This window comes from Homo sapiens, chromosome 11, assembly GCF_000001405.40.
Source record: "Homo sapiens chromosome 11, GRCh38.p14 Primary Assembly".
In the NCBI taxonomy this organism is placed as follows: domain Eukaryota; kingdom Metazoa; phylum Chordata; class Mammalia; order Primates; family Hominidae; genus Homo; species Homo sapiens.
The window spans coordinates 60984351-61001598 of NC_000011.10; the positions used below are offsets into that span (position 1 = coordinate 60984351).

At 46.8% G+C, this 17248-nt stretch overlaps 1 protein-coding gene and 2 pseudogenes across 17 annotated transcripts in view, besides 1 other annotated feature; 2 read left to right on the forward strand and 1 right to left on the reverse strand.

Moving 5' to 3' along the window:
• CD6 (CD6 molecule) overlaps positions 1-17248 on the forward strand; it is a 48698-nt gene that overhangs the window by 12671 nt on the left and 18779 nt on the right. Inside the window, exon 2 of one of the 17 annotated variants that reach the window (XM_047427881.1) lies at positions 8849-9029. The exons of the other annotated variants lie outside the window; for them this stretch is intronic. The gene's annotated coding sequence lies outside the window, so the exon portion shown is untranslated. The remainder of the gene's footprint in view (positions 1-8848; positions 9030-17248) is intronic. 17 annotated transcript variants of the gene reach the window in all.
• Positions 711-817, reverse strand: RNU6-933P (RNA, U6 small nuclear 933, pseudogene; annotated as a pseudogene).
• Positions 4989-5078: an enhancer, noted in NCBI's record as "active region_4788". NCBI's record gives its function as "activates an Ori minimal core promoter by ATAC-STARR-seq in GM12878 lymphoblastoid cells {active_cell/tissue: GM12878}" and the evidence as "EXISTENCE:reporter gene assay evidence [ECO:0000049][PMID:35858748]".
• On the forward strand, positions 11686-11755 carry TRA-TGC10-1 (tRNA-Ala (TGC) 10-1; annotated as a pseudogene).

Genomic DNA, 17248 nt, shown 5'->3' on the forward strand with positions numbered 1-17248 from the left:
CAGTGCATGGCAGGCTGGTACTAATGAGGCCAAGGTTTGAGCTCCCTTTCCACTGTGCCTCTGGTGGCTGCTGTCTTGCCCCGCCTCGGATATTGGAGTCCGGGTCAGCACCTCTCCACCTTAGGGCTAGTTCTCCCTCCATCTTTACAGTTTTGCCATTCATTTGTTGAGCTACTAGTATGTGTTAGGCACTTTTTTTCAGCCACTGAGGATACGGGACAAAGTCCCGGTCTTCAAGAAGCTTCTATTCTAATAGGGAAAATAGACCAAAAACATAAACACATTTTTAAAATAGTATCATTTCAGAGAGGGATATGTGCACCAAGGGAAATCAGGCAAAGTAAGGGGACTGAGAGCGGTTGCACTGGAGACACAGGCAGAACCTCGGAGGGGATATAGACCTGAGTGATGAGATGAGCTGGGAATGCTGAGATCAGGGAGAGGACATTCCCGTCAGGGGGAGGAGCAGGGGCGGAGGCCCTGAGGCAGGAATGAGATTGATTTCAGACTGATGGAGGAGTGAAGGAGATGGAGTTGGAGAGGCTGGCAGGGCTTGAGGGCATAGATAATAGGGTTTGGAATTAATCCAAGGGAAATGGGAGCTCATCAGAGAGTTTTAGGTGTAGAAGGATGTGATTTCATTTGCCCTTCATGCATATACAATTACTTAAGAATTTTGTACATCAACTCCTTTTTTTCTTTTTTTAAACAAAGATATAGAACGCTTCACGAATTCACGTGTCATACCTGTACAGGGGTCATTCTAATCTTCTCTGTATTGTTCCAGTTTTCGTATATGTACCGCCGAAGCTTGCACCCACTCCTTTTTTTTTTTTTTTTTTTTTTTTTTGAGACTGAGTTTCGCTCTTGTCGCTCAGGCTGGAGTGCAATGGTGCCATCTTGGCTCACTGCAACCTCTGCCTCCCGGGTTCAAGTGATTCTCCTGCCTCAGCCTCCCAAGTAGCTGGGATTACAGGCATGCACCACCATTGCCTGGCTAATTTTTGTATTTTTAGTAGAGACGGGGTTTCGCCATGTTAGCCAGGCTGGTCTCAAACTCCTGGCCTCAGGTGATCTGCCCGTCTCAGCCTCCCAGAGTGCTGGGATTACAGGTATAAGCCACCGCACCCGGCCACCCTCTCCTTTTATAAACTTAAGTTTATTTGAACTTAGAAATCTGTCACTATCATGTATCTCAAACCAATACTACTTAAGTAAATAGAATATATATATATAAACAAAGAAAACACTGAAACCAAAAGTGTCATTAAATAGCCTGCCGTCCAAGCATGAGCTGTCTCTCCATTCATTAAGAAGTGTTAGGTGGCCAGGCACAGTGGCTGATGCCTGTCATGCCAGCACTTTGGGAGGCCAAGACAGGCAGGTTGCTTGAGCCCAGGAGTTCAAGAGCATCCTGGGCAACATTGCATGTCCCCATCTCTGCAAAAATAAAATTTAACAAAAAGTGTTAGGTGTTAAAGACTAAGTAGCAGCACAATGAGACTTTCTCCTTAATGCAGTCGGACAGAAAAATTGGAAAAGGAATAATTTGTTTACTGCATGATTCAGTTCCATTTAATCTTATATGTTAAACTGTCTTTCTGACTCAGACCTGATTTGAGAAGCATTTTGCTAACTGGTGGAAGGATTTGACAGGCCCAGCCCACCCATTTAACCATGGAGAAACTGAGGCCTTGGAACGGGGCAAGGACTTACCCAAGGTCCTGGTAATAGCTGCTCTCCATTCTACTCACCCTCGGTATCACTCCCACCCAATGCTAGCTGAAAATTCAGATGTGATGTAAACATTAGTCATCCTTATTGTAAAAACGTTATAACAACCACATTAGAAGGAATGCAAAGAGAGAAAAGAAGTCTCAGCCAGCACCTTCACACAACCCGGCTGTTTGTTCTTGAAGGAGGAAGTTTTTGAGTCTGTGGAGCGTCATGGGCCTTCAGTCTCACCAGCAGGAAGGTGGGTGGCTGATGGGTGCCGGGCTGGTGTTGATCCACACTTGTCAGGTGGCTCTGAGACCAGCCTTGACTCCAGGCTCCACCACTTCCGCCATGACCTTGGGCAAGTTCCCAAAGCTCTCTGAGGTAAAATGGGTGTGGCCATGTCACTCTTCAGCTTTTGCGCTCTAGGTAGATGCTAAAGCCTTCCCTGAAGATCTCTATGGAACTTTTAGTCACCTGCATCTGTGGGGGCTGCCTCAGCCCTAACCATGTCAACATAGTGTTGAAATTCAGTTCCGAGAAACACTTGTGGGTTTGTAGACTCTATGGCATCTGGAAGTGAAAGAGGGACACATCTCTCCCTCTTACGGGTTCCTTCCCCCGCTCTCAACGCCCCTAATCCAGAATGCCCTAGAAGCTCTTCTCAGCTCCCACCTTCTGCCCCGGAGGCAGCTTTTGTTGCAGGTACACCTGTGGTTTAGTTTACTAGAGTTGCTGCAACAAACTGAGTGGCCAGGGCAACAGAAATGTATTGTCTCTCCCTGGCGCCGTGGCGCACAGCTGTAATCCCTGCACTTTGGGAGGCTGAGGCGGGCAGATCACCTGAGGTCAGGAGTTCAAGACCAGCCTGGCCAACGTGGTGAAACCCCGTCTCTACTAAAAATACAAAAACTAGTTGGGTGAGGTGGCACGCGCCTGTAATCCCGGCTACTCAGGAGGCTCAGGCAAGGGAATCGCTTGAACCTGGGAGGCAGAGGTTGCAGTGAGCCGAGATGGCACCACAGTGCGAGACTCCATCTCAAAAAAACAAAAACAAAAACAAAAAAACCAGAAATGTATTGTCTCACAGTTCTGGAGGCTCAAAGTCCAAGATCAAAGAGTCAGTGGGACTGGTTCCTTCTGAGAAGCTGTTCTCTTCTGAGCTTCTGGTGGCTTGCTGGCAATCTTGGGCATTTCTTGACTTATAGAAACATTGCCCCAATCTCCGCCTTATCTTAAAATGGTGTTCTTATGTGCATGTGCCTGTGTCCAAATTTCCCACTTCTGTGAGGACAACAGTCATATTGAATTGGGGCCTGCCCTGATGGCCTCATGCTAACTTGATTGCCCCTATAAAGACCCTATTTCCAAATAAGCTCACATTCTGGGGTACTGGAAATTAGGACTGTTTTAAGAGGAGGGGAACAATTCAACAACTCGTAGCAATGTATGTAGTGTGTATAGGGTGTGTGTGTAGGGTGTGTGTGTGTACATGTATGTATGTGTGTGTGGTGTGTGTGTATGGTGGGGGGGTATGGAGAAAGAGGTGGGTCACTGCCCTACTTAATCTCTCCTCCTAGCCCACTCATCCTCTGGAGAGATGCAAGTTAGATATCTCAGGTTATTTGGCAAAGGCCTGGAAAGAGGTATCTTTCCATCGATTTCTTACCCCTGAGAACTCCTACTCATCCTCTAAAACCCTTCCCAATTGTCCCCTGTTTCTTGGAGTCAGTTATTCCCTCCTAACTCTGTTTTTTTTCCAGAGTACTTAGTTCCAAGCCCAAGGATAGCATTTATAACTGATCGTAATCAACCACGAGTGCATCTGTATCCTCCACCAGGGCATGGGGCCTGGCCCAGAGCCTAGCTGAGAGAATGGAATGAATGAGTGGCATCTCCCTGACCAAGGGTTAAGATAGATGGGAACTCAGAAGGACTTTGAGCCGCCTCAGAAGCATCCTGTAAGTGACTTGTGAAGAGGAGTAGGGGACAGCCGTGTGGGCTGAGAGCTGAGAGTGTGAGATCAGATTAGAGAGACTGGAAGTCTGGCTCCGCCTCTTAGTAACTGTGGCCTTGGGCAAGTCATTTCATGCTGCGGAGCCTCAGTTTTCTCATCTGGAACACTGAGCCTTCACAGGCTCCTCATGGAGATGAATAAGACGGTGCGTGCTGTATACATAAAGCTGGGGCACACAGTGGGCATTCAGATGTTACCTTCCTTCCAAGGAACCCATATTTTTTTCCTGAATTTGAATTCCTGAATCCACTGGCACTCTGAGCCACGTAGATCCACATGGCCATTGGCCGCTGTCAGCCCCCAGCTGTTAAGGACGCAAGGTGGCCACAAAGCATTAGTCTGAACATCCCTGGTGCCTCCCCCAGGTTCTCTTTGAATCTGGATTTATTTAAAGAGAGGAGGTGAGTGGTAGGTGAGGAGGGGGCTGTTGTTAGGACATGGATGGGCACAGGACATGTGTCTGGTGAGCGTAGCTGCCAGGGCCGGTCCCTGACACCCCAAGGAGACTTTCTGGTCCCAGCCCAGCCTACACTCCCACCTGCTCTGGAGAGGCTGTGTTTCCTTCCAAGGATGGATGCTGATGATGTCTGATGGCTTCTGGATGTCTGATCTCAAGGGGGCCTTCTCTTAGGGGGCTTTAGGCCACCCTGGAAAGGTCTCAGCATCACCCCTTGGAGCGGGGAGGATTTTCACCCCTTGCCCACACACAAGCTAAAACTGCTTCTGCTGCAGCTCTGGGAGACCTAGAACCAGGGCCCCTCCTGAGAGCCAGTGGGTGGGGGCAGGCCCCCTGGAAAATCGCTGAGAGCTCAGCAGTTTCAGCCTTCACTCCCCTCCTCACTCCCCTCCTCCAGCCTGCAGAAACCTAGCCCAGCCTTTGCACAGAGGGTCTTGCTCTGGGGAATTCTATTCTTGAATTTAATACCTTGAGTGTCTAGCCTGGCCCACCAGCTTCTGTCCCACCTCCAGGTGTTTGCTCGAGCTGTGCCCTCTCCCTAGAATGCCTTCTTAACTCTTGCTACTTGTTGAGGGCGCCTGAAGAGTAGAAAGAGTGAATCTGGGGAACAAATTCAAATTTGGATTTGAATTCTGGCTCTATCAATGCCAGGCTATGTGACCGTGGGCTAGGAACTTAATTTCCCTGAGCCTCTTTGTAAAATGGGTTTCATAATAGTGTCTCCTCACAAGGTAGCCATGAGGCAACGTCTGTAAAGCACTCAGCACAGAGGAAGCACTCGGCACAGAGGAAGTCCTCGGGAAATGTGGATCTGCTTCCCTTGCCTCAGCGAAATGCTCCTTGACTTTGAAGTCCTGGCCCAAAGGGCACCTCCCCGGCAATACCTTCCTGGACTCACTCACCAGCCCCACCACTTGCAGAGCAGCCCTGTCCCTCCTCCAGGTTCCTCAAGCATGTCTCCTGCCTCTGCACCTACCTCAGAGAGACAACATTCGAGTCAGCTCTTAACATCTGGCCTCCAGGCTGGACCACGGGCTCTATTACCTTTACTTTCCACGGCAGAGCGCAGCATGGCTCAAGAAATGCTGCGGGAGGTGAAGTGAGTTCTAGGGACTTCCATTAATAATAAGAGTAACTAGAATTTGTTGAGCATTCACAGCACACCCTGAGGTGTTTATCAGAGCCCAGGAAACCCTCTTTCTGGGTTCAAATCCCTGCTCTGCCTCTTAGGGGCTCTATTGTCCCAGAAAGTTCCTTGTCTCTTGAATCCTACATTTCCCCGCCTGCACGATAGTGATAATAACAGTGCTTACTTCTGAGCATTGTTAAGGAGATTCAAGAATTTAAAACTATAAAAACCCATGGCTTTCTTACCCAGAGAAGGGCAGAAAAATCGTTGGCAGGGTGCATTGATATGACTCGGACAATTTACAAAGGTTTTTCATATATGCTTTTATTTTAAAATTTTTTTGTTTTTATTTTGTTTTATTTTATTTTACTAAAATTTTATTTAGTAAAAATAGTACAGAATTTAGAAAATACAAAAACAGAAAAATTTAAAAATTTATCAATAGCTACCTTCAAAGATAACTGTTGTTACTAGCCTCTTGTAGAATCTTCCAGACATTTCGTTAGAGAGGAATATTGCAAACATACAGAAATGCATTGAGAATGACATTTGTTTATTTGTTTATTTGCTTTTGAGATGGTGTCTCGCACTGTCACCCAGGCTGGAGTGCAGTGGTGCAATCTCGGCTCACTGCAACCTTTGCCTCCTGGGTTCAAGTGATTCTCCTGTCTCAGCCTCCCAAGTAGCTGGGACTACAGGCACACACCACCACACCCGGCTAATTTTTGTATTTCAGTAGAGATGGGGTTTCACCATGTTGGTCACACTGGTCTTGAACTCCTGATCTCAAGTGATCCACTTGCCTCGGCCTTCCAAAGTGCTGGGATTACAGGCGTGAGCCACCGCGCCTGGCCTGAGAATGTTTTAATGAACCCAATGCGTCCTCACCACCCAGACTTAGAAAATGTTTACACTTTTGCCGTATTTGCTCAGATCTATATTAATAAGAAAGAAAACCATACAGATACTGTTGAAATAATTCTTATCCTTTCCTCCCTAGAACACACACTCCAAAGTGTGGTGTGTGTACCCTTTTCTCCCACATTTTTATACTCCTATTACACAAAAAGTGTCTCCATACACAATGGATGGTATTGAGACATGTACTATATTTTATATAAATTGTACCCTACTGGACATATTGTTCTGAAACTTATTATACTTTTCTCCTTGTTTTCAAAATCTAACCAAGTGGATAGATATGCATCTAGTTCATTCCTGCAATGGAATAATCCAGCCTATGATACAATACAGTCTGTTTATTTCCAGCTGATGGATGGTTAGAGTACTTCTAATTTTCTTCTGTTACAAACAGTTCCGCAGAAAGTATCCCTGCACACATCTGCATGTGAACAATTTTTTCTATAATTTATACAAAAGGGTATAGCTTTCAGATCAAGGTATGAGCCTCTTGAAATCTATGAGGTATCATCAGCCATTTCCTTTTCTTTCTTTCTTTCTTTTCTTTTCTTTTTCTTTCTTTTTTTTTTTTTTTTTTGAGACGGAGTTTCACTCTTGTTGTCCAGGCTGGAGTGCAATGGCTAAATCTCGGCTCACCGCAACCTCCACCTCCTGGGTTCAAGCGATTCTCCTGCCTCAGCCTCTCGAGTAGCTAGGATTGCAGGCATGCGCCACCATGCCTGGCTAATTGTTTTGTATTTTTAGTAGAGACAGGGCTTCTCCATGTTGGTCAGGCTGATCTTGAACTCCCAACCTCAGGTGATACACCCGCCTCAGCCTCCCAAAGTGCTGTGATTACAGGCGTGAGCCCCGCGTTTGGCCTCATCAGCCATTTTTCTCTGCACAATATCCATAAGGCTATGATCATCCTGAATATGTTGTTTTTCATCTGTTTTTTCCATCTACGATACATATATGCACACATATTCATCTTTCACGTATTTGCAGGTATAGTCATTGATTCCACAAGATCTTGGGCATTTGCCATGGGCCAGGTATTGGGGGTTTTTATGGTAATCTTTCCTTAGCCCTGTGAGGTTTTTGTTTCGTTTTCATTTTAGAGGTGGAATCTCACCCTGTTGCCCAGGCTGGAGTGCAGTGATGATCATAGCTTACTGCAACCTCGAACTCCTGGGCTCAAGTGATCCTCCTGCCTCAGCCTCCTCAGTAGCTAGAATTACAAGCATGTGTCCAGCTAATTTACTTATTTATTTATTCATATATATCTATATATATGTATATATATATGTATATATATCTATAGAGAGAGAGACAAAGGATCTCACTCTGTTGCCCAGGCTGGAGTGCAGTGGCACCATCTTGGCTCACTGCAGCCTCAAACTCCTCGGCCCAAGTGATCCAACCTCAGCCTCTCGACTAGCTGGGACCACAGGTGCACACCACCATGTCCAGCTAATTTTTTGAATTTTGGTAGAGACAAGGTTTTGCCTTGTTGCTTAAGCTGGTCTCAAATTCCTGCGCTCAAGCAATCCACCCACCTTGGCCTCCCAAAGTGCTGGGATTACAGCGTGAGCCACAGCACCCAGCCTCATTTTTTTATTTTTAAATTTATTTTGTAGAGATAGGGTCTCACTGTGTTGCCCAGGCTGTTCTCAAACTCCTGGCCTCAAGCAATCCTCCTGCCTCAGCCACTGAAAGTGCTGGGATTACAAGTGTGAACCACTGTGCCCAGCTTGTGAGGCTTTTTTTTTTTATATATAACTATGAGGTGAGGGAGGCAAGGGGGGCATGTGAAGAGATTCGCCCAGGGTCACACTATAGTAAGGAGGAAGCTGGGTTTCTAACCCAGGCATGTTTAATTTCAATCCAGTGTTCTTTCTGATGCCTATGATGTGGTAGATGGTTTTTTCCCAACCAAGACCTACTGAATGGGAATTCTAAAAGAGGGACCTGAGGGCCGGGCGCTGTGGCTCACACCTGTAATCCCAGCACTTTGGGAGGCCAAGGTGAGCAGACTACCTGAGGTCAGGAGTTCAAGACCAGCCTGGCCAACATGGTGAAACCCGGTCTCTACTAAAAATACAAAAATTAGCCGAGCATGGTGGCGTGCACCTGTAATCCCAGCTATTAGGGAGACTGAGGCAGGAGAATCACTAGAACTTGGGAGGCAGAGGTTGCAGTGAACCAAGATCGTGCCACTACACTCCAGCCTCGGCGACAGTGTGAGACTCCGTCTCCAAAAATAAAAAAAAATAAAAAAATTAAAATTAAAATAAATAAATAAATAAAAGAAGCACCTGAATATTCTTCTCCTCCTCTCAGTGGTCTAAAGTCTGGCGGGGGATCAAGAAGATGGGGCTGGTGACATGCCAGTGTTTCTGGCCTGCTGTGCTCTCTTGGAGCCAAATCCCTACTCTTATCCCTTGGGATTTTACTGAGCTGCTTGCAACCCTCCATGGGACCTTCTCATTTTACCACCTGGTAGCTGGAAAGAAGGCACGGTCTGGCACGGGAGCCTGAGCCAGCCTTGGAGCCAGGACCCCAGGAGACTTTTCTTTTAGAGGAACTCCTGTTACCACAGCAACTACAGCCCACATCTCCTCCCTAGGAACACTGGATGTTTGCAGAGCCGGGGAAGGGTGCAGCCAAGTTGAGAGTCTGCAGCAGCTCAGATAAGGTTCACAAGAAAGGCGAGGAGTGAGGAGGAGAGAATGCAGCCTTCAGAGAACCAGAATCACCCCCTTGCAGAAAAGAAGGCTAAGGAGCTGTCAGAGTCATCTTTCTGCCTGGTATGGAATGTAGAATCAATAGCCAGCTGCCGTCCCATAGCTACCAAGGGCCAAACGAGAGAAAAGGGATGAAAGCCTCAGGTTGGAGGATAATAACAACCACAGCTACCATATACCGCGTCCTAAGCGTTTTACGAAGATCACCCACCCGTGCACTCTTCTTCTGTTTGGCTCATTTATCATGCCCAGTGCCAGGTTAAAGATGAAACCTAGCTGGGCTCAGTGACTTTCCCTAGGTCACACAGCCAGTAATCAGCAGAGATGGGTTTAGATCACTGTTCTATCTGTCCCCAGAGTCCCTGTCTAAGTCATGAAAGACGAATTTCCCGAGAATGGAGGCTGTTTCCCAGATGAATTGGTGCCTGGGATCTCCTGCTCCCTCGATCATCCCGCTCACACTCATCTCCCTCATATCATACCTGCCCCAGTTCCCAGCATATGCAACAAGTTCAGCAGATGTTCATGGAACTGAATGCAGGCTGGCAACAGACTCATTTCTCAGCTTTCAGGAGAACATGGCTCACGCCCTCTCACTTTCTTGGGAGAGGAGGGGGAGTCCCAGCAATTGAACGTACCTCAAAGCCTGTTAAGTCATGTTGATCTTATCTTTTAAGTTTTTTACAGAGGCGAGTAGGAAACGTTGTCTTTTACTTCCCCTTGGATTTGGTGACAGAGAGGAGGGGAGATGAAACCTGGGCATGCATGGAAGGTATCACACAGGTGAACATCATCTGTCCTGTGACATAGGGGCAAAAGAAAGGTAAAAAGGCTGAATTTCTGGCCGGGCGCGGTGGCTCATGCCTGTAATCCCAGCACTTTGGGAGGCTGAGGCAGGGGGATTGCTTGAGCTTAGGAGTTTGCGACCAGCCTGGGCAACACGGTGAAACCCTGTCTCTAGTAAAATACAAAAAATTAGCCAGGCGTGGTGGCACACACCTGTAGTCCCAGCTACTCAGGAGGCTGAGGCAGGAGAATTGCTTGAACCTGGGAGGCGGAGGTTGCAGTAAGCCGAGATCGTGCCACTGCAGTCCAGCCTGGGCAACAGAGTGAGACTCATCCCCTCCCCAACACCCCCGCCAAAAAAAAAAAAAAGCTGAATTTCTTTGACCTGAGTGACTGCAGTCCTCTGGGACTGGGACTCTTTGAGCCTTAACTTCCATCCGTCTCTGTCAATTGAGTAAATTGTTTTATTTGTGTCCCCAAGCCCTGCTGTGGTATAACTGGGGAGTGTGAAAACAAACCAAAATCCTGTAACATAATACCAAATAATACTCACTCTCTTTCTCTTTCTCTCTCAAGAAAATGAAAGCACATGAGCCAAGTTCTCCTGAAAGCTGAGAAATGAGTTTATTACCGATCTATGTTCCGTTTCATTAACACTTGCTGAACTTGTTCCACGTGCTAGGAACTGGGACAGGTATTCGGGAGATAAGTGTACATGTAAAATAATACCAAAGCACCAAACTGCTGACTTTCCTCTGGGCGCCAGGGGAGAGAAGTCACTCTAGCCTTCCTGGCCTTGGAGAGCCAAGTGGGTATAAGCTGGTCTAGTCACAGCAGCCAGTCACCTCTGCAGGCTAGGACAGCACTGTGTGACTGAGCCTGTGACAGCTTCAGTTTCTTGACAAAGTAAACTCAGCCCAACCGGGTGTCACAGGCTCTTCAAGTCCAAGTCCCCTCAAAGGTTGAACACATTTATCCCCTCCCAATTGAATTATATTACTTGTATGAGCCAGCGCATGCGTCTTTTTTTTTTTCTTTTTCTTTCTTTCTTTTCTTTTTTGAAATGAAGTCTTGCTCTGTCACCCAGCCTAGAATGCAGTGCTGCAATCTCAGCACACTGCAACCTCCCCCTCCCGGATTCAAGCGATTCTCCTACCTCAGCCTCCTGAGTAGCTGGGACTACAGGCATGCACTACCACATCCAGCTAATTTTTGTATTTTTAGTAGAGGCTGGATTTCGCCATGTTGGCCAGGCTGATCTCGAACTCCCGACCTCAGCTAGTCCACCCACCTCAGCCTCTCAAAGTGCTGGGATTACAGATGTGAGCCACCAGGCCCAGCCCGCATCTTTCTAATTTTAATGGAATTACAGGCGTTCCCTTCTTTCTAGTTGTTTTATTAATTGCTCACCATTAACAATACCAAGGGCATTTCTAAAAAGAAAATAGTTAGGACAGTTCCAGCACCCTCTCACTCAGAGCTTCCTCCCCTAAATTCATTGGCCCTCCTCTTCCAATTGGCCGATGCATCCTCAGGCCCTAGACAGTGCTGGAGTGAGCCCCATATTTGAGAGCAAGTGGGGAAGGGGTGGGGGCAGTGCGAGGTGAGACTATTAAGTCTCATCTTTTCCCTGCTGTGAGGTCTGTGGGATGACACATGCCACCCAGGACCCCCTGCCCCGGAGAAGGAAGGTTTCCTAGTTGTTGCTTATCTTTGGAGTCTGGGATCTTTTGGGAAATGAGTCCCTGGATCTTGGGTTCTGAGTTGTGTCACCATTGCGGGGGAAGGGTGGGTTATCATTTCTAAACTCAGTGCTGGTTGACACTTGCAGAGGAGAAAGGAGTTTGGAAAGCCTCCAGGGTTGTCAAAACTTCCTGCCTCTCGCCCTTGGCATGATCACCAAAGCAGAAATCAGGATGTTGGATTCCAACCCGGGGGAGTGGTGTGGTTACGAATGTGGCCTCTGCAAGCAGACAGCCTGGGTTCAATTCCCAGCTTGGCCATTTTCTAGCCGTGTAATCTTAGGCAAGATACTAAACCGCTCTGTGCCTCAGTTTCCCCATCTCGTGGTCTTGCTTTGACAATTAAATCATACTGAATAAATGTCAGCCATTACTGCTGAGCTGTGCCAGATTTGTGACGGGTGCTCGACGTGCCTTGGGGCCTCCCCTTTCCCTATCAGAGCAGTGGGAAGCATCACAACATCCTTCCCTTATCCCCCTGCACTCTGGACCCCAGATGCCCGAGATAAGTAGCTGCTCCCATCAGTGTGGGTTGGGAGTAGAAAACTAGGAGTCCATCTGGCTGCTTCCCAAACCTGCAAACCAGGAATCCCAGTCCAGCTTCCCGGCCACTGGGCAAGGGGCAGGTGAGTGTTTCCGGACAGCTCCCTGAACCAGTCCTGCTCCACTTGAATACCTGGAGTCTGAGCCAGGGCCTCGGGAGGCGGGCCCACCAGGGTTCACGTAGCATTTGTCATCACTGCTCGGGACAAAAGGCCAGTCTTCATACACAAGATGCACGGTGGTCTGCAGGTTAGCAGGGAGCACGCCTCTCCCAAGGTTCGGGGACACTAGTCACAAGGGCCTGGTGCCAGTCTTGCAGAGAGGCACACCCTGCCCTGTCCTGGCAGTGCTCCAGAGCAGCAGCTGGACTATCCGGGAGATCACTGCGCTGCACTGGGAGCCTGACCTCCCCGTGGGCCTTGGGGATACTCTTCCTTTGGGCCGCAGATTTTGCAATATTTCTGACAAAATACTTGCTGACAAAAAGCCTTCTGAGAGAAGCATTATTAACTCCAGTTCATGGATGACAGTCTAAGGCTCAGACTGGCAAAGTGACTGGCCAAAGGTCACTCCACTAATAAGGAACAGAGCTGGACTCCAGCCCAAGCCTTTGAACTCAAGGCCTTGTAAGGTACATAGGTACCTTCCCCCCATACAGCACTGTCTGATGTCAATATGTGAGTCACATTTATAATTTTAAATTTTTGGCTGGGCATGGTGGCTCATGCCTGTAATCCCAGCACTTTGGGAGGCCAAAGCAGGTGGATCACCTGAGGTCAGAAGTTCAAGACCAGCCTGGCCAACGTGGTGAAACCCCATCTCTACTAAAAGTATAAAAAAAGTAGCCAGGCATGGTGGTGCGTGCCTATAGTCCCAGCTACTCAGGGCGCTGAGGCAGGAGAATCGCTTGAACCTGGGAGATGGAGGTTGCGGTGAGCCCAAGATCATACCACTGCCCTCCAGCCTGGGTGATAGGGCGAGACTCCGTCTCAAAAAAAAAAAAAATAAAATAAAATAAAATAAAAATAATAAATAAATAAATTTTTAGCAGCTGCATTTTTTCAAAAAAGTAAAAAGAAACAGATGAAATTTCTTTAATAATATATGTTATTTAACTGAATATATCCAAAATATCATTTCTACACATCAATAAAAAAATTCTTAATAAGATACTTTACATTCTTTATTCTTACCAAGTCTTTGACACACAACCTGTACTTCACACTTAAAGCATGTCTCAATTTGGACACTCAAGTTTCACCAGAAACATTCAATCTGTATTTAGATTTCATACTAGTTACAATTGAAAAAGGAGAATCACATATCTCACTTACTCTGGCCATTTGAAAAGGTTTTCCAATGATTGAATTGATTATGCCTTTAAAATTAAATGGAAAACATTTTGTAAATTAAATAGAAATGAATTGAATTAAATAAAATGAAATTTTGAGTTTCTCATTGGCACGAACCCATTTCAAGTGCTCAGTAGCCACACGTGGCTGGTGGCTATTGTACTGGACAACACAGCACCATATGATTTTCCCTCCGAGTGGGGCTGAGTGATCTCTAAGCCCTTCAAATGTATGCTCCTCCCCTGCGTTTATACAGATGAGTGCTTTGTGTACCATGGGCCCACTTCCGTGATGATAAATGGACGGTGTAGGACAGATTTCCCATCTATATTGACAGCATACTGAAAACAGTATGCTGTAGTAGTTAAAAGGGTGATTTCTAGAGCCAGACTGTCCAGGTTCAAATTTTGCTTTGATTACTGACCAGCTGGGTGGCCTTGGGTGATTTACTTAAGCTCTCTATGTCCCAGTTTTCTCAGTGATGACACTGGGATGATGATATTAATAGTATGCACCTCACAGGGTGGTTGTAAGGATTTGCTAGTACATGTAATGCACACAGATAACCGCTATCATCTATGGGGCATACAGTAAGTGCTCAAGAGATGTTGCCTTTCATTACATATTTTATCTAATTATAATCAAAGAATGTAAGGACTGGACAAGATCAAAATCTCATCAATCTGTCATTATGCAAGTGACAAAACGGGGCCAGAAAGTGAAAGAACTCATTCAAGGTCATGTAGCAAGTTAATGATAGAAATCAACTGTCAGCTCCTGACGCCCAACCCAGTGACCCTCTCCACTGTGCCCCCAACAATGCTGACATTGCCGAGAAGAGACACCCTGACCTGCCAGCCACATGAGCTCTTCAATTCTTCCCTGGGAATGAGTATGGCTTTAGCTGGCGTGGCCACACTGTCTGCCCAGGTGCTCTCTGCAGGCTCATTGGAGCAGGGTGACTGGGTAGTCAGTATGAAAGCTCACTGTATTAGTACTTCAAGCTAGCCCACATGTCCCCCCAGGAAAAAAGCCCTGTGTATTTATTTGGGGACTTTTAATTTTTATTTGATATAGAACATTTGAAAAAATTAGAACAACACAAGGCAGAAAAAAAAAAAAAAAAAAAGGAAAACAGGCCAGGCACAGTGGCTTATGCCTGTAATCCCAGCATTTTGGGAGGCCAAGGCAGGCGGATCACCTGAGGTCAGGAGTTCGAGACCAGCCTGGCCAACATCGTGAAACCCAGTCTCTACTAATATATATAAATTAGGCGGGCATGGTGGCACATGCCTGTAGTCCCAGCTATTCAGGAGGCTGAGGCAGGAGAATTGCTTGAACTCGGGAGGCGGAGGTTGCAGTGAGTTGAGATGGCACCACTGCACTCCAGCCTGGGTGACAGAGCAAGATAGAAAGGAAAGAAAGAAAGAGCAAGAAGGAAGGAAGGAAAACTTATTAATACCATGTGGGCATGTATTTTCTTTTCCTATAGTAGAGATTAAATTTAATTTACTGATATTCTTTTAGCATCTCTCCTGGGCAAGGCACTGCGCAAGGTCCTGGATATATGGGGGTGATGCTTAGAATCTAGTGAGCCGATGGTTGTCAGTTCATGACCAGGATAGCTATGTAATTAAATGTGGCTGGGCCCACATGAAAAAAAATCTCAGGATGCAGTGAGAGGACAGAATGGGAGATTGTACTCGGGCTCTCTGTGGGTCCTGGAAAACCTTCAGAAGCTTAAAACATGGCGGGGGGTGAGGACGGGGACTGAAGGGGAGAGTACAACCATACTTATAACATAACCCTGTATTCTGCTTCTGCCACTTAACATTGTGGCATAAACTTATCCCCACATCATTAAATACTCCCTGTAAATTTTTTTTTGGCAAATATTTTTAATGTGCTATATTTTTCTAACCAACCCCCCAATCACTTTTAGACAATCCAGTTGTCTCCGGTTTGAATTTTTTTTTGGTGGGTTTTTATTTGTTTGTTTTTATTATGCTATCAGAAACAGCACAGGGTCGGGTTCTGTGGCTCACGCCTGTAATCCCAGCACTTTGGGAGCCTGAGGTGGGCGGATCACTTGAAGCCAGGCGTTCGAGATCAGCATGGCCAACATAGTGAAACCCCATCTCTACTAAAAATATAAATAAAAAAATTAGCCAGGCATGGTGGCAGGCGCCTGTAACCCCAGCTACTCAGTAGCTGCGGCAGGAGAATCGCTTGAATCAGGAGGGTGGAGGTGGCAGTGAACCGAGATCGCATCACTGCACTCCAGCCTGGGCAACAGAGGGAGAGTGAGACTCTATGGCAAAATAAAAATAAAAATAAATATAAATATAAATATAAAAAACCAGCACATCACAGCATTCTGGGGCTCCAGTGGATGGAAAAGGGAATCTAGAACCATCTAGTTCCAAAGCATGGACTTTAGTCTCCAGGCAGTATGGTACTTGAGATAGTTTTATTTAGGATAAGTTCCCAGATGTGGAATTACTGGATTGAAAGAGCTTGGTTTGCTGTTGTTGTTAAGGCTGTTGGCATCTGTGTTTGCAAACACTTTCTGTTGATTTTTTTTTTTAACTATACTTCTAGCAGGTGACACATGCACCTGGCTGCACCACTTGTAGATTCCACCTCCATGTTTCCATCGTCCCTTTCCACCCTGCCTCTGGCTCTGTACAGCATCTCTTCATCCATCATCCACTCAACGAGCATTCAGGATGCAACCGTGTTTTCCTCAGCACCTCTGACAGTGCCGGAGGACAGAAAGTAACCTCAGGTGTAGCTGGTGTTGACCTGACACTGGTCACTGGGCACGGCCAGGGCGGCATTCTGGGGAGTGCCTTGTTTCCCCACCAGGCTTGCTCTGACACTGGGCTGGCCAGCGGGAGGCTCAGCTTTCCCTCGATGTCTATGCCTCCTTTCTCCACAAGTCCCTCACCTCTCAGATGCCCATGGGACATCTCAGGAGCCTGGGTGACACAACAGGAGTATCAGTGTCCCGTTCCGTTTTCTCAAATTCCAGGCAACAAGGCTCTTTCGTGCCTTCATTCTTCCTGTGCTTACAGTCTCCTCCGCAGCCCGTTCCACTGGAGTCTTCTTCCCACTACCCCATTGGAGGTTCTGTCCCACTCGGGGACTTCTGCATGGGACTGGCCTGAAAAAGCCGCCTCCTTCCTGGGCTGGGGTCGGCACTCCCAACCTCTTTCTTCTCCTATTCTGAAACCAGCCGCTCCCCTCCATCCCTTCCCTGTCTTGTTCCATCACTTTCCAGAATTTGGGACACAACTAGAGATGATTTTCAGGGGCACACAGTATAACTTCAGGTGGTAAATGAACTTAGCATTAAATAACACTGAATCATGTGGCAATAAAAGTTTAAATAATTATTATTTTTCAATGTTTTGTCATTCCTTCTGATTCTATCAGATAGTCTGATGATGATGTGTCTTTTTTTTTTTTTTTTTTTTGAGACGGAGTCTTGCTCTGTCGCCCAGGCTAGAGCGTAGTAGTGGCGTGATCTCAGCTCACTGCAACCTCTGCCTCCTGGGTTCAAGCGATTCTCTGCCTCAGCCTCCCGAGTAGCTGGAACTACAGGCACCTGCCACCACGCCTGGCTAACTTTTGTATTTTTAGTAGAGACAGGGTTTCACCATATTGGCCAGGCTGGTCTCGAACTCTGGACCTTGTGATCCACCCACCTTGGCCTCCCAAAGTGCTGGGATTACAGGCGTGAGCCACCGTGCCTGGCCGATGATGTGTCTTTTAACATCTCTAACATGGCTTTATTTTTAGTATGCTTGTTTTTACAATTACCTTCTATTTTAAGCAAGTCATATAAATCGTCCCT